This window comes from Homo sapiens, chromosome 10 (genome assembly GCF_000001405.40).
Source record: "Homo sapiens chromosome 10, GRCh38.p14 Primary Assembly".
NCBI lineage: Eukaryota > Metazoa > Chordata > Mammalia > Primates > Hominidae > Homo > Homo sapiens.
This window is the reverse complement of record NC_000010.11, coordinates 11,690,786-11,714,809: the sequence shown is the minus strand read 5'-3', so window position 1 is coordinate 11,714,809 and position 24,024 is coordinate 11,690,786. Positions and strand designations below refer to the sequence as shown.

The following is a 24,024-nucleotide window of genomic DNA, read 5'->3' as shown; positions in this document are numbered from 1 at the left end:
AGTCTCACTCTGTTGCCCAGGCTGGAGTGCAGTGCTATGATCTTGGCTCACTGCAATCTCCGCCTCTTGGATTCAAGCGATTCTCTTGCCTCAGCCTCCTGGTAGCTGGGATTACAGGCATGTGCCACCGCGCCCAGATAATTTTTGTATTTTTAATAGAGACAGGATTTTGCCATGTTGGCCCAGCTGGTCTAGAACTCCTGACCTCAAGTGATCCTCCAGCCTTGGTCTCCCAAAGTGAACAGCCCCTTTCTTAATCTGGGCTCCATCCACTATCTGGAGTTTTCTCTGCAGGCATCCTGTGTGGTTCCAACCACTCTCCAGAACCAGCTGGAGACAGAAAACAAGTTATTCGCCATATGTTTTCCCTTTTCTGTCCATCCTTCCCAGTCCCTTTGTCTCTCTCTCTCTCTCAGATGGGACAGGTAGCTTCCAGCAGGCTGAATGCATCTTTTGCACTGCAACAGAGAGCGTGCATTGCTGCTGTGAGTTTTGGATGGCCGAGGTCCCAAGCAGCCTCCCCTTTGGCTGCTCGTAGGCTCTGGCCCTTGGTCAGCTTGTCCCACAAGGGAAGGAAGCAGGGTCCCCGGGGGAGGTGGCTGATACAAAGATGGCCCCTCTGTCCAGCCAGAGATCCTGGGCCTGCTGGCCGGCAGGGATTGAAGCATAGAGGTCCCTCACTGTCCCCAGTGCCAGCGGGGGCTTTGCCCCCCTCTCCCCCGTCACTCCCTGCCATGCCAGCTCCGTTTATGAAAGGACAGTTCTTTATTCAGGGCCAAATGTAGCTTCCACTCCACCCATCCTCAGAGGCGCTTCTTAGTCTCGAGCATGTCTGTGGTGCAAAGGCATCACCCCTGTATTTGTGGGTGAATTTTCAAGCACATTTGCAGGGGGGACTGGGACCAGAGCCCGGGGTTCTGCTTGGCTTCTGTCCTTGGACTGAGGTTTCCTCCTGGGGATGGGTGCTCAGTGCTGGGCTGAGGCCAGCCTTAGAAGCCCCTCTGTTTGGAATTCCAGAGAAGGCTTTCCAGACTTTTCCGGCCATCAGGTCAGAGGAGAAGATCTGCCCCACGCCATTCAGAGGCTGGGACATAAGGGCCCTGATGAATCAGTGTCTTTATTCTCTAACACTCCCCCGTCCTGAACTGGCCCCTGCAGAATCCAGCAGGGATTTTTCCCAACCAATACCTTCAAGTCTTTCAAAACATCCATACTTTTTTTCTCCACCGCACCCAACAGTAGACGCCTGCTGTCTCCTGTGACGTTAACAACAGTTCCTAATGAGGATAAGGGAATTCCAGAAGGCTAAGAACAGGCTTGGGGTGCCCACGCCTTATCCCAGACAAACACCCCTGTCTCTCTGGGCTCCCTTCTCCCCAGGCGTGGCTGGAGTCTGGCAGATTCTTTGAAGCATACGTGTGGTCCTGGTGCATGGGAGTGCGTGGGAATATGCGTGGGCGTCCTTTTATCTAGATTGCCATGGCTACCCAGGTTTCCTTCACTAGTGCATGTACACTCCGTGGGGGAGAGTTCAAACACATCCTCTCCCGGCTGAGGCTTCACGCCAATTCCACTTCTGCTTCTTGTGATTTCATACAAGCAGGGCGCATACTGGGTCTTTGTGCCTGGAGTTCTGGAAACACCCACACCTTCACCATAGTAGACTTCTGAGGGGGGTACGGCACAGAGAAAGAACTGGAGCTGCGGGGTGCCTGGGGATGCCCCAAATAAGAGATGTTTCTCAAAGGCAACAAATGCAGCAAGGATTCTGTGAGTTTAAGGTGTCTTTTCAGGATGAAAGGAAACATATGTTGATGTTTATAGTGACTCAGTGGCGGAGAAGCCTCCATGCAAATGGAAAAAAAAAAATGCACAGGCACAGCCTTGTTCCACGTGTTCTTGGAGTTACACCAAAGTGGGTGAGAAAGTGATAAGCCTCCTGGGAGAGCCCAGAGATCCTGACTGGAGCCGACCTTCCCTCGTAGGGGACAAACCCCACGGTGCTGGCCTCTCTGCTGGAGCAGCTCTGGGTATGGGATGCAGAGAAGCTGTTCATGTTCAGAGGTCTCCTAAGACGTTCCCAAGGGTCTCCCCAGACATAGGTGGATCCACGAGCCGCCCTGCCTCTGCTCTACACCTGCCTTTCTTTCTTGGGGTGTCAGAATCTGCTTCTAGCTCCCGCCCCTGCAGAAAATGTGGGGGCAGGGAGATGGTGACTGTGGAACACCAAGGGGCCTCTGTGTAGGAATCTCAAGACTCCACCATGCTTCCAAGACGTGATGACACAGTGGACAACTTTTCTTCCAGCTGGCACAGGCTTGGGGGATCAGGAGTTCTTCCTGGGGGTCCCAGCAGTCCTGAGACTTTTCCTCTGATCCTCGGGTGTCTTAGTCTACTTTGTGTTGCCGTAAAGGAATGCCTGAGACTGGGTACTTTAGAAAGAAAAGAGGTGTATTTTTGGCTCACAGTTCTGCAGGCTGTACGAGAAGCAGGGCACCAGCATCTGCTTCTGGGGAGGCCTCAGGAGGCTTTTACTCAGGGTAGAAGGTGAAGGGGAAGCAGGAATTTCGTGGTGAGAGAGGGAGCAAGAGAGAGAGAGAGAGCGCACAAGGTAGGGGGAGGTCCCAGACTCATTGGATCTCATGGTAACTCATTACTGGGGGGGGGATAAAAGGGTGGGGACACCAAGCCATTCATTAGGAATCGGGCCCTATGACCCAAACACCTCCCATCAGACCCCACGTTCAACACTGGGGATTACGTTTCAACATAAGACTTGGAGAAGACAGACATCCAAACCATATCACCAGGGCAGGCTTCTGCTGTGGAGTTCCCCCTCTCTTGTGTTCTCTTTCCTCCCACCGTAAATAATAACAATAATAGAGATTATTCTCTCACTCAGTGAATATTGAGTGAGTACTTGCTAGGCACCAGGCCCGGCCCATGTCTGGGACATGGCAGTCACCTTGTATGTGTAGCGTGCCTTCCAGTTTACAAAGCACTTGCAGTTCAATCACCTCATCTTTTTTTGTTGTTCCTTATGCGATTTTTTTTATTGTGGTTAAAAAAAAAAACACATGAAATTTGCCAGCTTAGGCCAGGCGTGATGGCTCACACCTATAATCTCAGCACTTTCGGAGGTCGAGGCAGGAGGATCGCTCGAGCTCAGGAGTTCTAGACCAGCCTCGGCAACATGGAAAAACCCCATCTCTACAAAAAATACAAAAAATCAGCCGGGCATGGTCGTGGGCGCCTGTAGTCCCAGCTACTTGGGAGGCTGAGGTAGGAGGATCGCTGCAACCCAGGAGGCAGAGACTGCACCACACCACCATACTCCAGCCTGGGCGACAGAGCAAGATTCTGTCTTAAAAAAAAAACATTGCCAGCTTAACCTTTATTTATTTATTTATTTATTTATTTATTTATTTATTTATTTATTTATTTTGAGACAGAGTCTTGCTCTGTTGCCCAGGCTGGAGTGCAGTGGCATGATCTCAGCTCACTGTAACCTCTGCCTCCCAGGTTCCAGTGATTCTCCTGCCTCAGCCTCCTGGGTAGCTGGGATTACAGGCACGTGCCATCATGCCCAGCTAATTTTTGTATTTTTAGTAGAAATGGGGATCCACCATGTTGGCCAGGCTGGTCTTGAACTCCTGACTTCAGGTGATCTGCCTGCCTCAGCCTCCCAAATTGCTGGGATTACAGGCGTGAGCCACCATGCCTCGCCGGGCTTAACCATTTTTAAGTGTACAGTTCAGTAGTGTTAAGCACATTCACATTGCAAACAATCTCTAGAAGTTTTTCAAAAAAACCGAAAAAGTTGCAAAACTGAAACTTTATACCCACTAAGTGGTAACTCCCCATTCTTGTGGTTACCCTAGCCGCTGGTAACCACCATTCTCCTTTCTGTTTCTGTGAATTTGACTACTCTGGGAACCTTAGATAAGGGAAATCATACAGTTCTTGTTTTTTTGTGACTAGCTTCTTTCACAGCATGATGTCTAAGGTTCATCCCCATGGTACCATGCGATCCTAATGTTTTTAAACCTCCACAGCAGCCCTTTCAAGTTAGATTTCGCATTTTACAGGTGAGAAAATTGAGACTCAAAAGGAATAAGCAATTGTCCATAGCTAGCGTCATGGATTGACACTAGCTTTGAAGGTTGGTCCCCACCTCCAAAGACAGGCCTAAGTCCCAAGTCCTGGTACCGTAAACGTGTCCTTATGTGGAAATAGGTCTTTGCAGATGTAATTAAGTTCTGGATCTCGAGATGAGATCTTCCTGAATTTGGGGTGAACTCTAAATTGTATGACTGATGTCCTCATAAGAGAAGGGAAAGGGAAGCCAGGCACAGTGGCTCACACCTGTAATCCCAGCACTTTGGGAGGCTGAGGCGGGCAGATCATCTGAGGTCAGGAGTTTGAGATCAGCCTGACCAACATGGAGAAACCCTGTCTCTACTAAAAATTCAGAATTAGCTGGGTGTGGTGGTGCACGCCTGTAATCCCAGCTACTCGGGAGGCTGAGGCAGGAGAATTGCTTGTACCCTGCAGGCAGAGGTTTCAGTGAGCTGAGATCGCGCCATTGCACTCCAGCCTGGGCAAAAAAGAGCGAAACTCCATCTCAAAAAAAAAAAAACAAAAAAAAAACCCAGAAGGGAGGGGGAGATTTGAGATACATTGAAAAAGTTTCAGGGAAGGAGAGCATGTGGTTATACAGGTAAGTTATGCTACCATAAGCCAAGGACTAGCACAGTCCACCTGAAGCTGGAAGCGCCAGGAAACATCCTCCCCTGGAGCCCGGGAAGGGAGAGTGGCCCTGCCGATGCCTTGATTTCAGACTTCTGCCCTCTAGAACCATGAGACCATACATTTCGGTTGTTTTAAGCCTCCCAGTGTGTGAGAATTTGCAATGGCGGCCCAAGCAAAAGAATACAGTGAGCAGGTCGGGCACGGAGGCTCGCACCTATAATCTCAGCACTTTGGGAGGCCAAGGTGGGAGCATCACTTGAGCCCAGGAGTTTGAGACCAGCCTGGGCAATATAGCAAGACCCTGATTCAATCAATCAATAAAAGTAAAGAGCACAGCTAGTGAGCTGAAAAAAAAAATGACTAAAATCCAGATGCTGCGACTTCTAGTCTAGAGTTCTTTCTATGAACGTGGGTCAGGAGAGAACTCTGGCTGGGGTACAAGGGTTTCTGCAAGATCATGTTTGTAGGAGAGAAAAGAGCTAGTCTGTGAGACTGTTCTCCCCAGCTCCCATCTCCCTTCCATATGCAGCCATCCTCCTCTCTCTTCCCCACACTTCCTAAACTTGCAGGGGCCCCAGAATTTAAGCTGTATGGAGGATGGATTGAAAGTACCGTGTGCCAGACAGCTTGTGTCTGCCCCCGCAGACCCCTCTCTGCCTTCTCCACCAGGATCTCTGAAACGAGCAACAGGTTCTCTGGCCTCCTGGCTTCCGGGTGAGGCCAAGGAGTGTGAGGTCAGTGGGCTTATTCCTCCAGCTGGCTTCCCACCTAGCAGGGGATATCCCTGGGTGAGCTGGGTCCCTTAGCTGGAGGCCACCACTCCTCTGAGCCTCTTCCAGGGGTCCCTAAGCAGTCCCTGCCTTCTCCCTTGTGGTCCAGGCAGTGGTTACCACTGTACCCCTTCTCTAGGTCCCCCTCACTCGCACCTTGGCAGATAATCCTTTCATCATACCTACTGGGCACGTACAGCTGTTTCCTGCTGGAATCCACTGGAAGGTAAACTCCACGGGGGCACCAGTGTTGGTCTATATTTGTTTACTGCTGTATCCCTAGTGCTTAGAATAGTTCCTAGAAAATATTTCAACAGGAAATATTTGTTGAGTGAATGCGGCTGGACGCAGTGGCTCACACCTGTAATCCTAGCACTTTGGGAGGCTGAGGCGGGTGGATCACTTGAGGTCAGGAGTTAGAGACCAGCTTGGCCAACATGGTGAAACCCCATCTCTACTAAAAAAATAAAATAAAATAAATAAAATAAAATACACAAATTAGCCAGGCATGGTGGCAGGTGCCTGTAGTCCCAGCTACTTGGGAGGCTGAAGCACTAGAATTGCTTGAACCTGGGAGGCAGAGGTTGCCGTGAGCCGAGATTGCGCCACTGCACTCCAGCTGGATGACAGAGTGAGACTCTGTCTAAAAAAAAAAATGAAAAAAAGAAATATTTGTTGAATGAATGGAATGAAATACCCAGGTAGGCCCTAGGTCTGTCTGTGTTATCAATTCCTAGCATTAATTTTTCTCTTCACTGAGATAACAATTGTAGGCAACCACCAATTTAAAATATGACTGAAGTATTGTTTTGCTATTATTATGAATGGTTACTCATCAACTGTAAGGTCATTGTGTGAGACTCCTCCATCCCACCTCACATTTGGGTCATACAGCAGGACCTGCAAGAAACCTGGTGGGTCCATACAATTTGTCTGGAGAACCTTGAGCATCTCCCTAATATGAAAACAATCTGAACTTGAACCCGCTGTCCCTCTGCCGTCTGCCCTTTTCTCTTCTTCCTTTGCAGCCGGAGCGAATGGCATTGGCCATGCTTGTCACCTCTCTGCCCTTCCTCAATGTCCTTCCTGTTTCCACGCTCAGCAGCAGCAAGTCTTCTGCTTCCAAAGGTCACAGATGGCTCCTTTATTTACAGAGCCAGCCAGCCGTCTTCCTCCGCCCCCTCCCCGTGTGCGGGGTGTTCACCCTTGGTCCACTTTCCACTTCTTGGACGGCTGTCTTCGATGAGCTTCCTTCAGGCTCTGCCCCTGGTCCAGGTGCTGCAGCTGGAGCCAGCAAAGATATTGGACAGACAAACCGCCTGCCAGCCAAGAAGCAGCTGGTGCTTCCCAGGTCCCCCTGGCCCTCCAGCAGGTTCTGGTTTCCTAGGCGATGCCGGAGATGGGTATTCCTTCTGGCTCTCCTCCCTGCTCTGCCTTGTTCCTCCCAGTTTCATGTTGCTGCAGGCTGGTCCCACCCTGAGCCCTACTCCTTGGCTTTGTTTCATCTCCCATGCATAAGCGAATCATTCAGGCACTGTCTGGTGCCCCGATACTGTCTCTTTGTGGGCCCTTGGTTTCCTCAAACTCTCATGATTACTTCAAATATCTCCCTTCCTCCTCCATGCTGATTGAGAGCCTGACCCTGCCCTGGCCTTAAGGAATTCATGATCAATGGTAATTTCACTGTCTGCCCTCTTTGGAAGAGCTGCAGGAACCCAGGGAGGCTGAGGCAGGAGGACGGCTTGAACCCAGGAATTTGAGGCTGCAGTGAGCTATGATCACACCACTGAATTTCAGCCTGGGTGACAGAGTAAGGCTAGATCCTGTCTGTAAAAAAATAAAAAATAAAAATAAATGAACAAATAAAATGAGTTGTGACCATATGCACACATCAGGAGGAGCACCTCCTACTGGCCGCACAGGGCCGGACCTGCCCTGGTATGTCCATGTCTGGCAGCTGCCTCTGAAATTGGAGATTCTGCACATCTCTGTTTCTGTGACCACCTGATTGTTGAGTCCTAAAATTCTGCAGATCTAAGTGATCTGAGAATCCAGATCAGGGAAGGAAGGCCCTGCACTTTCTTTTCTCGGGTGGCCATGGGAACTGTGGTTCGAATTTGTTTCCAACTCTGGTGCAGAAGCCACGTGCAGTGCTCTCTGGGATGAGGGACAGGGAGCGCCAGCAGTGTTTGTGTTTTGCTTTTGTTTATTTTTTGGCAGTCTGCAACTCGTCCAGCACAGCATTTTCCAAAGCGTGTCCTTGTTATATGAATAGATCTAGCTCCTCAGACTGTCATTGTTTCTCAGGAAAAGTGATATGATTTGGCTGTGTCCCCACCCAAATCTCAAATCGTAGCTCCCATAATTCCTATGTGTTGTGGGAGGGGCCTGGTGGGAGGTAATTGAATCATGGGGGTGGGTTTTTCCTGTGCTGTTCTCCTGATAGTAAGTCTCATGAGATCTGATGGTTTTTCTTTTCTTTTTTTTTTGAGACGGAGTCTTGCTCTGTTGCCAGGCTGGAGTGCAGGGGCACAATCTCGGCTCACTGCAACCTCCACCTCCTGGGTTCAAATGATTCTCCTGCCTCAGCCTCCCAAGTAGCTGGGACTACAGGCGCACGTCACCACACCCAGCTAATTTTTGTATTTTTGGTAAAGGTGGAGTTTCATCATGTTGGCCAGGATGGTCTCGATCTCTTGACCTTGTGATCTGCCCTCCTTGGCCTCCCAAAGTGCTAGGATTACAGGTGTGAGCCACTGTGCCTGGCACCCGGTTTTATAAAGGGGAGTTCTCCTGCACATGCTCTCTTGCCTGCTGCCATGTAAGATGTGCCTCTGCTTCTCTGCCTTCCACCATGATTATGAGGCCTCCCCAGCAACGTGGAACTGTGAGTCCATTAAACCTCTTTCCTTTATGAATTACCCAGTCTCAGGTATGTCTTTATTAGTAGCATGAGAACAGACTAATACAAAAAAGTGTATTAGTAAGTCTGGGAAGTGTAAGTCTGGGATATGTGAAATTAAAGCAAAGTTACATAGGTTTTTTATTGCATTTTTTTTTTGAGACAGGGTCTTGCAGTGGTGCAATCATGGCTTACTGCAGTGTTGAACTCCTGGCCTCAAGCCATCCTCCTGTCTCAGCTTCCCAAAGCACCAGGATCACAGGCGTAGGCCACCAGCACAGCCCTCTTGCAGAACTTCTTTCAGTCCTTAATATGCAAGTTCAGCCATCAAATCAGCATGCATTGATGGACTGCCGGCTGTATGCATGGTACTCTTGGGGTGCTGGGAACAGAAGCATGGGAAAGACATGGCTCCTGCCTGGAGTTTATAAGTTAGCAGCAGATGGACATTAAATGACTAAGTACCCACTAATGATGCAATTACACGTGCTCCAAAAGAGAAAGCGGGTGTTGAGGGAACATTCATCATTAGGTCCTGCTCAAGTCTGGGGAATCAGAAATGGCTTTTCTGGGGAAATGATGTTCAAGTTCAGATCTGAAGAAGAGAACGATGTTTCCTAAGTGAAAGAGGCATGGGTTTGGAGGATTTCAGGCAGGGGGACAGTGCATGCAAAGGCCCAGAAAAGGAAAGTGCTTGGAGTCTCTGCTCTGTTTTGAAAATTAATCTAACCAAGAAACCCTTTCCTCATACCCCTTCCAAGTCTCCAGACTGTTGGGGGACTAGAATTTGGCTTTGGTGTCATAGAAAAACCTCTGCAGGGACTTGAGAGTGTCACTGATTGTCTGGGTGACAATGGAGCTGCATTTTTTGAGCCTTGTTTTTCTTATCAATAAAATTAGGGGTAGATAGACAACAGTAAGATAGCTAAGAATCCCTCCAGCTGCGGCAGGCTAGGATTTCATGCGAATGCTCTTCCATTTCTTAGGGTAGGGAGAGAGGGAAGTAGATCTAATTGTAAACAGGGGAATTTTTAGTCTGGAAGGGAAATAACACAGCTCGTGGAGGGTGGGGTAGAAAAATGCAGTGTGGCTGCCATTCTAAAGCCTTAGGTGACCCAGTTAGAAGCCATGTATTCACGGGGTCCGCCCATCAATACACAGTTACTCACCAGCTGCCATTGACTAAGGGTTATGTACTAAGGGCAGGGGACTCGGGGCTCCTGCCCTGAGCCCGGCGGGAAACCTGGAGACAGCACCCCACACTGCAGTTGCTCTCTCCTTTCAAAGGCAGGACTTCCAGGGCCTGGAGCCTCAAGGCCTCTGTGGAGGGGACAAAGGGCTCTTGAGGTCACTGGAGAGGCCAGAAGGCGGCTCATTAAGTGGCTGGCATCACTTTCCTGCAACCCCTGCCCCGTTCTAGGGGCACAGAGCGGGGACAGCAGCCTGGAATCTTGGAGAACCAAGAGGACACGTGCTGGAATACAGGAACCCTTCAGAGGCGCACTGATTTTATAAAGTAACACGCTCACTCAGGATACCAACAAAGGGTCTTGTTTTTGAAACTCCTGCAAGTAGAGAAAAGAAGACCCACTAGAGCCAGCCAGTAAGTTACGAACAAATGATGAATGAAAACTATCATCTCCCGGGATCCCAGGTTCTCCCCCTGCTTTTTTTTTTTTGCCTTTTAATCTTTTCTCCTTTTTTTCTGACTTTTAATCTTTCTCTCTCTCTCCCACTTTTTTTTTGGCTCCTCAGGCCAGACCTTTTTGTCCCATTTGTTCCTCTCCGCCCCAGAAAACAGACACTGTGTCAACCCGGCTGGTTTTTCTGCTGTTCTCAGATTACTTCACTCGAAGAACTTTGTGTGAGCTGCTTCTTCCCGTGTTTGCTGGAAAGTGGATCCTAATTCCTATCTGGGCTTTGCAGCTCAGAAGATTCTGGGTGCCCTGGCCCTGCAGCCCCATGGTAGTGAGACAGACAGACCACCGAGATCCTTCTCTCTGCAGAGCCAGTATCTTAGCTCAGGCTGCTGTAAAGCAAAATACCACAAGCCGAGTGGCTTCAACAATGGAAATTTATTGTCTCTCAGTTCTGGAGGCCAGAAGTCCAAGGTCAAGGGGTCAGCAGCGCGGGGAGGAGAGGACCCGTTCTAGGCCTCTCTCCTCGGCTTGTAAATGGCCGTCTTCTCCCTTTGTCTCTTCTCATGGTCTTCCTTCTGTGCGTGTCTTTGTGTCCAAATGTTCCCTTTTTCATAAGGACACCAGTCATGTTGGATCCAAGCCACTCTAATGACCTCATTTTAACTTGATTATCTCTTTACAGACCCTATCCCCAAATAACCGCAGGTTCTGAGGGACTGGAGGTTAGCACTTCATCATATGGATTTAGGGGGAGGAGAAGACACAATTCAATCCGTAACAGCCAGTAAGACTTACAACTTTGGCTGGGTGCGGTGGCTCACGCCTGTAATCACAGCACTTTGGGAGGCTGAGGCAGGTGGATCATGAGGTGAGGAGTTCAAGACCGGCTTGGCCAAGATGGTGAAACCCCGTCTCTACTAAAAACACAAAAATTAGCTGGGTGTTGTGGCATGTGCATGTAATCCCAGCTACTCGGGAGGATGAGGCAGAGAATTGCTTGAACCTGGAAGGTGGAGGTTGCAGTGAGCCAAGATCACACCACTGCACTCCAGGCTGGGCGGCAGGGTGAGACTACGTCTTAAAAAGAAAAAAAACCTTAAAACTTCAGTGTTCCAATGGCTTACATGGGGGCTTGCCAAAAATAGAGATACAAGGCCGAGTGCAGTGGCTCACGCCTCTAATCCCAGCACTTTGGAGACCAAGGTGGGGAAATCACTTGAGCCCAAGAGTTTGAGTTCAGCCTGGGCAACATAGCGAGACCCATCTCTACAAAAAATACAAAAATCAGCCAGGTGTTGTGGTGCACAGCCATGGACCCAGCTACTCGAGCGGCTGAGGGATGGGAGGATTGCTTGAGCCCAGGAGGTTGAGGCTGCAGTGAGCCGAGATGGCACCACTGAACTCCAGCGTGGGCAACAGAGAGAGACTGTGTCTCAAAAACCAAACAAGGCCCGGTGTGTTGGCTTACGTGTGTAATCCCAACACTTTGGGAGGCTGAAGCAGGCAGATCACTTGAGGTCAGGAGTTCGAGACCAGCCTGGGCAACATGGCGAAACCCTGTCTCTACTGAAAGTACAAAAATTAGCCGGGTGTGGTGGCACACGCCTGTAGTCCCAGCTACTCGGGAGACTGAGGCATGAGAATCACTTGAAGCCGGGAGGTGGAGGCTGAGGCTGCAGTGAGCTGAGATGATGCCACTACACTCTAGCCTGGGCAACAGAGCAGAACCCTGTCTCAGAAAAACAAAACAAAACAAAAACTAGAGGTACCAGTGGCCCTCCCACAGATTCTGATTTAATAGGTCTGGGGTGGAGGCCAGGACTCTGATTTTTAAAAGCACCCTGGGATAAGTGTGATGGAACAACCCACCCTAACTGCTCTAAGGCAGTTCCCCCCAAACCCCCCATTTGATGCTGCAAATCACCGCATGGCCTGTGGAAGGGCCTATAACACGAACGTTGTGCTTACACTCTCCTGCTGCAAAGAAAAGACGTCCTCTTGTGCCTAGCTTTTCCTTAGTCCCTGCTCAGATTTCCCTGCAGGGATCCTGGTGGCATCTGCAGGCCTCCAGGGGACCCTCCTGGCCAACCTGCTTGTCGGTCACTGGCTCGGTGGGTGGCAGGCAGGCAGCAGGACAGGTCAGCTTTTGGAGTCTGAGGCCTGGCTCTGCCATTTCATGGCTGATTAACTTTGGATGGATCACTTGGCCTCTGCAGGGCTGAGCTTTTTTGCCTTTGCAATATGGGACTTCCTTGTCTGTCTCAGAGGGCTGCCATAAGGACTGAATGAAATGATGTTTGTCAAAGGTGTGTGACATAGTGCCAGGTACTAAGAAGGGATAGGGTGAGTGGTGGCTCAAGCCACTCACTGGCTCCCAGCACTTTGGGAGGCCAAGGCGGGCAGATCACTTGGGGTCAGGAGTTGGAGACTAGCCTGGCCAACGTGGTGAAAATACAATCTCTACTAAAAATACAAAAATTAGCCAGGCGTGGTGGCATGCCCATGTAATCCCAGCTACTCGGGAGGCTGAGGCAGGAGAATCGCTTGAACCCAGGAGGTGGAGGTTGCAGTGAGCCGAGATCGCACCACTGCACTCCAGCCTGGGCGACAGAGCGAGACTCTATCTTAAAAACAAGGAAAGCGTGGGGGATAGATATTAATTACTATTATTATCCTCCACTCCCATCAGATGGCAAACCCAGGTTTAATGCACTCTTGCAACCTCAGTGCACCAAGGAGGAACAAGGAGAGACTCGATCCTAAAGGGATCAGAGGCTGTCTGACTGTTCTGAGGATGAAGAGACAGCCTTGCCTTTGAATTCCGCAGTCACCGTGTGGGCAAGTGGGATCTGTCAGGCATGCTGTGGAAACCTAGATTCGAGTTGCATTACCCTGATGTCTGCCTTCTTGCTTTAAAGAAACCTGCCCACTCCATCTCCAGAGTAGAAAATGGATGTGTTGCTGAATCAATGCTTTTTTTTTTTTTTCTCTCTCCCCAGGATGGTGTAATGGTTCCCAGGGCAGAGTCTGGAACCAGACTGCCTGGCTCTGAGAGTTCAGCACCCTCAGCTCCTAGCTGTGCTGCCTTTTGTAAGTCACTCAACTTCTCTGTGCCTTAGTTCTCTTCTTTGTAAAACAGGGAAATAATACTACCTACCTCACAGTGAAAATGACATGACTTTTTGATGAACGCAACCCAGAGAAGTGCCCAGCACAGAGTTAACTGTCTGCGTTAGCCTTTATCATTAGCTATAGTTTTATTATATTTCATTTCCCCTTTATGCCTCATCCTCAATTCCATTCCCTTTCTTCTCAAAATCGCCCATTGTGCTTTGAATCCATGTCCATACTTGTCCTCTAACGTATGTAAATATATAGTGTTTGTTGTTTTGTGAATGCTTTCAAAAGATTTTTTAGAAGATATTGTGCTAGCTGGGCGTGATAGCATGCACCTGTGGTCCCGGCTACTTGAGAGGCTGAGGTGGGAGGATCACTTGAGCCCAGGAGGTTGAGACTGCAGTGAGCCGTGATTGTGCCACTGTACTCTAGCTTGGGCAAGAGAGCAAGACCTTGTCTCAAAAAAAAAAAAAAAGCATTATGCTATAACAAATCTTATTTTAGTTTTATATTCATTGCTATTAGGTGTTTGTTTGAGACGGAGTCTCGCTTTGTCACCCAGGCTGGAATGCAGTGGCACTATCTCAGTTCACTGCAACCTCCGCCTCCCGGGTTAAAGTGATTCTGCTGCCTCAGCCTCCCAAGTAGCTGGGATTACAGGCATGTGCCACCACACCCGGCTAATTTTTGTGTTTTTAGTAGAGATGGGGTTTCACCATACTGGCCAGGCTGGTCTTGAACTCCTGACCTCATGTCATCTGCCCACATTCTCTCCCAAAGGGCTGGGATTATAGGCATGAGCCACCGCGCCTGGCTGCTATTAGGTTTTTGCCTTCAAACATGTTGCTATAGATCATTCTAGTTCATTCCTTTTGTCACCTACATAGTATTCCGTTGCGTGCCCATACTACATTTTATTTACCCATTCCCCTACTGACGGACACATAGGTTACTCCAAACTCTGCTACCATGAATGGCACTGCACAAGGATCATCCTTAGACAGGCCACCTGTGCCTGTGTGCAAAGCTCCTCTGGGGACAGATAACCTTTGCACCATCCTCATATTCGGTCATCAGCCATTGCCTCTTCCTATATCTCTTCCAAAATATTTAGTGACCCAGTCAATGTTATCCCAGAAAATACATGCGGAGATAAGATCTGAAGCCAACACTCCCTGTTTTCTTCATAACGTGTTATTTCATCTTGTGGCCTGTGAGTTTAATAAGTGGAAGAAGATAGTCACCACCTCACTGCGTCCTCACGTGCTCTTTCCTCTGTGTGTGCCCCTGGTGTCTCTGTGTGTCCAAATCTTGTCTTCTTACCAGGACACCAGTCAGACTGGATTAGGGCCCACCCTAACTGCCCCATTTTAACTTTCTCCCCTCTGTGAAGGCCCTGGCTCCAAATACAGCCACATTCTGATGTACTGGGGTTTAGGACTCTAACGTATGAATTTTGGGGAGACATAGTTCAATCCATAACAGCCTTTTGCTTTTTTTTTTGTTTTTTTTTTTTTGAGACACAGTCTCACTCTGTCACCCAGGCGCTGGAGTTCAGTGGCACAATCTTGGCTCACTGCAACCTCCACCTCCCGGGTTCAAGTGAATCTCCTGCCTCAGCCTCCCGAGTAGCTGGGGTTACAGGCACCACCATCAGGCCCGGCTAATATCTGTATTGTTAGTAGACACAGGATCTCTCCATGTTGCCCAGGCTGGTCTCGAACTCCTGACTTCAGGTGATCAGTCTGCCTCAGCCTCCCAAAGTGCTGCGATTACAGGTGTGAGCCACTGCGCCCAGGCACGCCTCTTGCTTTTGATCCTCTTCCTGGCTGATCTCTCTGGGTTAGAGCTTGAACTGGTCTGCAAACAAAAGACTTCTAGAAGGTGAGTGATTAGGCCATGTGGTCCCTCCAGTTTCAGCGTGGGCTCCCGGGAACCCAACCGCATATCATCTGCTGCCCCGTGCCCCAGAGGCCAAGGGCATGGTGGTTAAAATATAACGAGCTCTGGAGTCCAACAATCTGAGTTAGTGTCTCCAATCCTGACATTTATTCGTGTATGACCCTGGTGAGTTTATCTTGCTGAGCCTTTTTTTCCCATCAGCAAATTGAGATGATCGGCTACCTTGTACAGTTGTTTTAAAAATTAAATTAAGGAACTAGAAGAACAAGACTACTTCCCTGCTCAATGCCACTTTTGGACAGAGGCCTGGAGGGAAGATGACCACTGACTCTCAAGTTACTCTGACCCTTACAAAGAAGTACTTCTACATTTTAGCAGAATATCCTAGTCTGGCTGCATCTATTCCAGTAGTCACTAGGCCTGTTCTTGATTTATAGCAGGTATAGGAGCTTGATTGACATGGAGTGGGGAGGAAACAGAATGTGTGGCCTGCTCCACTGTGAAAGGCAATACTGTAAATTATGGGGGCTGTTACGAAAATGTCACTTCCTCATTGTGGGTTTACACATATTACTTCTGAGAATTAATATTTGTCATTAGAGATGTGTTTGGGTAAAACCCTGATTTTCAATGCAAGCTGCAAATTAAAATAACCTAGGAAATGTAAAGAAAAAGATACTGATCTTCAGACCTCACCACCAGATATTCTATTTGTTATTGTTGTCCTAGAGGTCAGGGTTTTGTTTTGTTTTGTTTCGAGACAGGGTCACACTCTGTCACAGGCTGCAGTGCAGTGGTATGATCACAGCTCACTGAAGCCTTGACCTCCCTGGCTCAAGCAATCCTCCTGCCTTGGCGTTCCAAAATGTTGAGATTACAGGCATGAGCCACCATGCCTGGCCTGAAGTCAGTTAAAAAAAAAAATTCCCTTGACTGGACATGAAGGCTCATGCCTATAATCCCAGCATTTTGGGAGGCTGAGATGGCAGGATCAGTTGAGCCCAGGAGTTCGAGACCAACCTGGGTAACATATCCAGACTCCATCTCTACATAACAACAATTTTCCTAGGTGATGGCACCGTGTAGCTAGGGCTAGAGAACCGTTCATCCTAAGTTCATACCAACAGCTTCCCATACATTCAGTAACTCAGCCAACAAATACTTATTGTGTGCCTACTGTGTGCCAGGCACAGTTCTGGGCTCTGGGATACAGCAGTGAATATGTCAGGCAAAATCCCTGTCTTTATGGAGGACTTACTAGAATTTAAGAGGAGATCCTCAATAAACAAAACAAGTACATGACGTAGCATGTCATATACTTTCCAAATGATGAGTGCTTAGAAAAAAATTAAGTGGGAAAAGGAAATAAGGAGTGGGGTGGGGGCAGGTGTCACCCAGGTGCCAACTGAGCAGAGGGTAGCAGGTGAGATTAAGTCATGTCGCCATCTAGAGGAAGACAGGGAGTCCCAGGCAGAGGGCGCTGCCCATGCAAAGGCCCTGAGGTGAGCATGCATCCTGTGTGTTTGAGTGATGCAAGGAGGCCCTGCGGATAAAACAAGGGAGCAGGGGCAGCAGAGCAGAAGATGAGTTCCTGATACTGTAGACTGCATTTTACTCTGAGGGAGATGAGAAGCCACTGGCAGATGTGGGCAGAGCAGTGAGAAGTTCTGACCTGCATTTTCAAAGGATTGCTCTGGCAGTTTTCTTGAAAATGAACTTAGGAGGGAAAAGGTGGAAGGAAGCAGGGAGACCAGTCAAGAGGCTGTTGCACATTTTGCTAAGGGAAATTAGCCAGACGCAAAAGGGCAACTATTGCACGATTCCATTTATATGAGGTATGTACCCACAACAGGCCAATCCATGGAGACAGAAAGCAGAAGCATCTTACCAGGGCATGGGGAGGGGAGAATGGGAGGTTAATGTTTAATGGGTACAGAGTTTCTGTTTGAAAAGATGAGAAAGTACTAGAAATAGGAGTGATGTTTGCCCAACACTGTGAATGTACTTAATGCCACTGAACCGTATACTTCAAAATGGCTAAAATTGTAAATCTTATGTTATTTATTTTACTGCAATAAAAAAATAAATTTAAAAAGGAGGACTGGGTATGGTGACTCATGCCTGTAATCATAACACTTTGGGAGGCCAAGGTGAGTGATCACTTGAGGTCAGGAGTTCGAGACCAGCCTTGCCAACATGGCAAAGCCCTGACTCTACTAAAAATTAAAAAAAAATGAGCCAGCCGTGGTGACAGGCACCTGTAATCCCAGCTACTCAAGAAGTTGAGGCAGGAGAATTGCTTGAACCCGGGGGGCAGAGGTTGCAGATCGATCCACTGCACTCCAGCCTAGGAGACAGAGTAAGACTCAAAAAAAAAAAAAAAAAAAAAAAAGAGGCTATTGTAACTATCCAAGTGAGAGATTATGGAGGCTTGGAACAGGATGTTGGCAAGAAGCCGGAGGTGGTGGTGGTGGTGCATATGGTAAGGGTGCTGCTATGTCTTGCGGGCAGCACACACAGAATTTGCTGATGCGTTTGGAGGCAGGGTGTGGGGAGAGGAGTCAAGTTCAAGGCCGAGGTTTTGGACCTGAACAACCAGAAGGATGAAGGGTACATTCACTGAGAAAAGTAAGGCTGGGAGTACAGTAGGTGTCATTGGTGGGGAGATGAGGAGTCTGGTCTTGGTCGTGGTAAGCTTGCGATGTCAAGTTGACCATCCACAAGGACAGGCTGGAGTGGCAACTGAGCCCTGGGTAGAGGCTGGCTGGCTGGAGATGTTCTTTGGGGAGTGACCTGTGTGTGGATGGTGTTCTAGGCATAAAAGGACTCTCAAGCGTTAGGCTCTGGGGACAGACCTAAGATACAGGGAGGAGAGAAATTAGCAAGGACAGAAGGATGGGGTAGAGAGAGAAAGGTGAAGGCAGGGAGCGTAGTAGCCTGGGAGTCAATTGTAGAAAGTGTTTCAGGCTGGGCAGGGTGGATCATGCCTGTAATCCCAGCACTTTGGGAAGCCAAGGAGGGCAGATCACTTGAGGTCAGGAATTGGAGACCACCCTGGCCAGTATGGTGAAACCCTGTCTCTACTAAAAATATGAAAATTACCTGGACATGGTGGCATGTGCCTGTAGTCCCAGCTACTCGGGAGGCTGAGGCAGGAGAATCGCTTGAACCTGGGAGGCGGACGTTGCAGTAAGTCGAGATCATGCCACTGCACTCCAGCCTGGGCCACAGCCTGGGTGACAAAAAAAAAGAAAGAAGGAAAGTGTTTCAAGGATCTATTGGGTGAAACACTGTGGATAGGCCAAGTGAGATGAAGACTGAGAGTTGACCATTGGTTCTGCAACCAAGAGGCTGTAGTTTAAATGACGTGCAGAGCAGGTGAGGGCAGAGCCTGGCTGGAGTGAGCGTAGGAGACAACTGTAAGAATAACGAAGTGTGTTGGGGCCCATACTCATGGAAAGATCCCAAAGGGGACAGGACCAAGTGTGACTGCGGCCACTCTGGACTGTTCTGGCTTGGAATGTCTTGCTGGAGCCTGGGGTATTATTAAAAATGGAGTAACTCCCATTTGAGGGAAGTATACTAGCTTGGGGGATGCTGAGCCCAGGAGAAGACCATTGTGCGTTGGTGGAGTAGGGAGGATTTTACCAAGAGAGGGAGAAAGGTCATACGCTGGAATCTGTGAGAAGTGGATCCTCTTGTAGAAAGGGCCCCTGCCAGTAGGCAACAAGCCAGAACTGCAGCCCAGGGGGACATGTTCATTTCCTCTTGCTCTGTAACAAATTACCACAGGTTTAGTGGCTTCAAACAACACTCATTTATAATTCTGTAGGTTAGAAGTCCAGACAGCTGGGCTGGATAGGTGGCTGAGGGTCTCCCAGGCTGAAATCAAGGTGTTGACTGTGCTGGGCTTTGATCTGAAGGCTCTGGGGAGAAGCTACTTCTAGGCTCATGGCAATTCTTGGCAGAATTCAATTCTGTGCACTGTGTTCCTTCTCGTGTGGACTCTGCCATTCTCAAGCTAGCAGTGGCACATGCAAGCCTTCTTGCGTTTTGAATTTCTCTGATTTCCTCTTCTGCCTCTGCCTTATCTGGGTGGGCCAGTATAACACAACAACATAATATATTGGGCCCACCCAGATAATCCAGGATAATCTCCCTATTTGAAGTTCAACTGATTACATCTGCAAAGTCCCTTTTGCCCCATTAAAGTAACATGTTCGGGGCACCATAGCATATTGACAGTCCCAGAAATTAGGGCGTGGAATTTCCTTGGCGGGGGCCATACACCTGGCTACAACAACGGTATTCCTTAAAGACCCTCCCCCGGATCACTGCACAAGGCATATTTTACAAACATACAATGTTCCTTTCGTGTTGTCATTAGGCTTTGTTTGCTCCACTCCCCAGCGAAATCTAGTAACTTGTGTTGTGGATGACAAAGCTGAGCTCCCCGACATCTGTGTCAAGCTGCCTTTCTGGCCCAAATCTTGTAGCAACCACGCGGTTCCGGGTGGGGCCGAGATTCTACCACCACCCTCCAGCTCCAGAAAGGGGTCATTGTTTTTCTGAGCCAATCAGGGTGGTCCCACTCTATCCACAGCCACACTGATTGGTTTAGAGATGAACATGTGACCAAAGATGGTAGAATCAGAGGCATGCTGAGGACTTCTGACTCAGATGGGAAAAGGCTATTCTTCCAGCTTAATCTACAAGGCGCTAGTGGCCATCTTGTAACCAAAGAGGGAAGAGAGCCTTTGAAGGAAACCGATACCAGGAAAACAGGGACAAGAGATGGAAAGAAAGGTGAGTTCCTATCCCACTCTCCATGATGTGATTATTACACATTGCATCCTCCTACCAAAAGCGCCTCATGTTGGCCTGGCGCCGTGGCTCACCCCTGTAGTCCCAGCACTTTGGGAGGCCGACCCAAGCAGATTGATCACCTGAGGTCAGGAGTTTAAGACCAGCCTGGCCAACATGGCAAAACCCCATCTCTACAAAAATACAAAAATTAGCCAGGCATGATGGCGGGTTCCTGTAATCCCAGCTACTCGGGAGGCTGAGGTGGGAGAATGGCTTCAACCCGGGAGGTGGAGCTTGCAGTGAGCGGAGATCCGCCTCTGCACTCCAGCCTGGGCGACAGTGCGAGACTCTGTCTCAAACAAACAAGCAAACAAACCAAAAAACACCTCATGTACTCCAGAAATATATATACCTACAATGTACCCATACAATTAAAAATTTTTTTAAAAAGCAAAAGGAGCAAAAACTTATAGTTGATGAAAAAATAGTTTTTCATCAATAAATAATACTTTTTTAAATGTAAAGATTAAAGACATTTTCACATTAGAAAAAAAAAAAGATGGCCGAGCTCGGTCGCTCACGCCTGTAATCCCAGCACTTTGGGAGGCCAAGGTGGGCGGATCACGAGGTCAGGAGATCGAGACCATCCTGGCTAACACAGTGAAACCCCGTCTCTACTGAAAATACAAAAAATTAGCTGGGCGTGGTGGTGGGCGCCTGCAGTCCCAGCTACTTGGGAGGCTGAGGCAGGAGAATGGCATGAACCCGGGAGGCAGAGCTTGCAGTGAGCTGAGATCACGCCACTGTACTCCAGCCTGAGTGACAGAGCGAGACTCCGTCTCAAAAAAAAAAAAAAAAATGAGTTCCTAGTGGCATTGCTGAACAGCTGGATCAACCCTTGCCTAAAGCCCACTCCATCTGCAGGCTTTTCATTTATGTCACCCAATACATTCCTCTTATTATTGAAGCCACTTTGAGTTCGATTTGCTCTTACTTGCCATCAAAATTACCCCAACAGACAGAACTTGTTTAACAAGGTGATGATTTTACAGAGCAGAGTCATGGATGGGGCCACAAAGACAGGTGTGGTCTGCCCTATTTCCACCTCCCCCTCTGCAAAGCCTTCTAAAAAAGCAGGCATATGGTACTAAGGGGACTTCAGCCCAGGGTTTCCCTGGATCATGGTCAACAGCAAAGCAAAGAGTGGCCCTGGCAGAGCAGGAGGAACAGCTGGTGTGAGGAGGAGCGGTAAGATAGGGACCTTGGGAATGGCTGTGGGATACCCTATCGCCCTTTCTCAAACACGCTGAAGAGAGGTGACATGTAAGAGAAGAGGAAAGACTGATGTCAGCAAATATATGCGAAGTGCTGAACAGTGGCCGGCACATGGTAGCCCTCAATACAGAGTACCACTTTGCGCCCAGGCCCTTCGAGGTGAGAATGAACCCCAGAGTGGGAGATGAATCACTAGAGGATAAATGTGTGTTTCTTCTCTTCTTTAGCAAAGGCTGTGCTTGAAAATAACCTTCACTCATTGTTATGGCCTGAATTGGGTCCCACCTAAAGTCATAGATTGAGGTCCTAACCCCCTAGCACCTCAGAATGTGACTTTATTTGGAGGTAGGGTCTTCACAGAGGTAATCAAGTTATACTGAGGTCATTAGGCCGGACCCTTGTTCAATGTGACTGGTGTCCTTGTAAGAAGAGGAAATGTTTGCTGGGTACGGTGGCTCACACTTGTAGTCCCAGCACTTTGGGAGGCTGAGGCAGGAGGATTACTTAAGCTCAGAAGTTCAAGACCAGCCTGGGCAACATGGCAAGACTCCATCTCTACAAATAATAAAAAAATTAGCAGGGGCATGGTGGCATGAGCCTATAGTCCCAGCTATTCAGGAGGCTGAGGTGGGAGGATCACTTGTGCCCAGGAGAGATTGAATCTGCAGTGAGCCATGATCGTGCCACTGTACTCCAGTCCGGGTGATAGAACGAGAACCTGTCTCTTAAAAAGAGAGAGAGAGAGAAAAAAAATTGGGGCAGACAGAGAGACAGCAGGGGTATACATCCACAGAGCCCACAGAGGAAAGGCCACGTGAGGACACAGGGAGAAGGTGACGACCTGCAAGACAAAGAAGAAACCAAATCTGCCAACACCTCGATCGTGGACTTTCAGCTTCCAGAACTGTGAAAAGATAAATGTCTGTTATTTAAGCCTCCCATTCTGTGGTATTTTGTCACATCAGCCAGAGCAGACTGGGACACCTGGGTTGAATGGTGCCCCCTCTTAGAAGATCTGTCCACCAGCACCTGTGAATGGTCCCTGATTTGGAACAAGAGTCTTTGCAGATGTAATTACATTTAGGATCTCAAGATGAGAACATTCTGGGTGAACTGAGTGGGCCCTAAACTCAATGACAACTGTCCATATAAGACACAGAAGAGAAGAGGAGAAACAGAGAAGGCCAGGTGAAGAGGGAGGCTGAAACTGGAATGAGGAAGATTGCCAGTGGCCACCAGAAGCCAGGATAGAGGCAAGGGATGGAGCCTCCTCAGAGACCCCAGAAGGGGCCGGCCCTGCCCACATCTTGATTCCACACCTCTGGCCTTGAGAACTGCAAGAAAATTTCTGTCGTTTTGGCCGGGTACAGTGGCTCACACCTGTAATCCCAGCACTTTGCGAGGCCGAGGCGGGTGGATCACCTGAGGTCAGGAGCTCAAGACCAGCCTGGCCAACATGGTGAAACCCCTTCTCTACTAAAAATACAAAAATTAGCCAGGCACGGCGGCAGGTGCCTGTCATCCCAGCTACTCGGGAGGCTGAGGCAGGAGAATCCCTTGAACCAGGGAGGCAGAAGTTGCAGTGAGCCAAGATCACGCCACTGCACTCCAGCCTGGGTGACAGTGAGACCCTGTCTCTAAAGAAATACAAAATAAAAATAAAGTGAGATGCGACCATATGTGCCCGCCAGAAGGAGCATCTCCTACTGGCTGCACAGGGCCGGACCTGCCCGGGTATGTCTGTGTCTGTGTCTGTGTCTGGCAGCTGCCTCTGAAAGTGGAGATTCTGTACATCTCTGTTTCTGTGACCACCTCTCAGACAAAGCCTTATTCCTACGCAGAAATTCTGCTGCTTAAAATAAAAGTTATAATTTAAGCCAGAGATGGAGCGGTGGAATACAGTGGTGTCCCCTCCTGCAGCCCCCACCGCACGCGCCCTCCCTGAGAGCCCTGAGCCCTGAGCCCCACACATGCCACATGTGCAGAGCCGGGTGGCTCCCAGGGAGGCAGGTGGAGGAGCCACAGCTTGTTACAGGAGCACCTGCGGCAGCGAGTCAGATGAGGAATTCCTTCCATCTCTGGCAGACGGGAGTGGGGTTGCCAAATAGCGGCTCTCCTTTCCAGCCTTCCCTCCGGCTCCCAAAGTGTGACAGCCCCAGGTCTGTTCAGCAAATTCTTCCTTGGCTGTCTCTGCTCCCATTCCCAATTTGGGAATCCGCGATAAGCCTCTAGAAGCGGAGGCCCGGTGCCCAGAAAGGCTGGCGCCTACCCAGCCACACACAGGAGGAGGCTGAGAGCCTTCCTTGGAAAGTGGAAAGTCCAAATCAGGACAAGGAGGCTGTGTTTTGCCACAGTAATGCCACACTGTAGAGGGGGCCGAGTTTTGAAATAACGATTTTCAAAGACTGTGCATAGTTGTCAGTTGACTCCCAAAGAAATACCCTACCATGCTTCTCCCCAGCCTGTGCCCATCCTGAGGGGAGCTCTCTGGTTGAGGTGGCAAGGGAACCCCTGTCCCCGAGTCAGCCACTTTGGATGTCAGGGTGCTTGAAAAGCGTTTTGCCCATGCAGGGGGCACTCACACCTCACCATGCTCTTCCACGGACTCGAGGGCACTCTTTCACTCTTTGTTTTTGTTTTTGATTTTTGAGATGGAGTCTTGCTCCGTTGCCCAGGCTGGAGTGCAGTGGCACAATCTCAGTTCACTGCAACGTCCGCTTCCTGGGTTCAAATGATTCTTCTGCCTCAGCCTCCCGAGTAGCTTGGATTACAGGCACCCACCACCCTGCCCGGCTAATTTTTGTATTTTTAGTAGAGACAGGGTTTCACCATGTTGGCCAGGTTGGCCTCGAAGTCCTGA

General features: G+C 49.2%; 1 long non-coding RNA gene across 1 annotated transcript in view, besides 2 other annotated features; it reads left to right on the top strand.

Annotated features, from left to right (window-relative positions):
- Nucleotides 3,721–4,180: a transcriptional cis regulatory region, noted in NCBI's record as "candidate enhancer chr10.454 targeted for multiplex CRISPR interference". NCBI's record gives its function as "positively regulates USP6NL gene expression with high confidence in K562 cells {active_cell/tissue: K562}" and the evidence as "EXISTENCE:mutant phenotype evidence [ECO:0000015][PMID:30612741]".
- The window catches only part of LOC105376413 (uncharacterized), a 70,155-nt gene continuing 55,251 nt past the window's right edge, over nt 9,121–24,024 (top strand). The window contains exons 1-2 of the long non-coding RNA XR_007062054.1: nt 9,121–10,027; nt 13,064–13,154. This is a non-coding gene — a long non-coding RNA (uncharacterized LOC105376413). The remainder of the gene's footprint in view (nt 10,028–13,063; nt 13,155–24,024) is intronic.
- Nucleotides 23,135–23,636: an enhancer, noted in NCBI's record as "H3K4me1 hESC enhancer chr10:11733173-11733674 (GRCh37/hg19 assembly coordinates)". NCBI's record gives its function as "activates a minimal SCP1, AML or CMV promoter by ChIP-STARR-seq in primed H9 embryonic stem cells {active_cell/tissue: H9 hESC(primed)}" and the evidence as "EXISTENCE:reporter gene assay evidence [ECO:0000049][PMID:30033119]".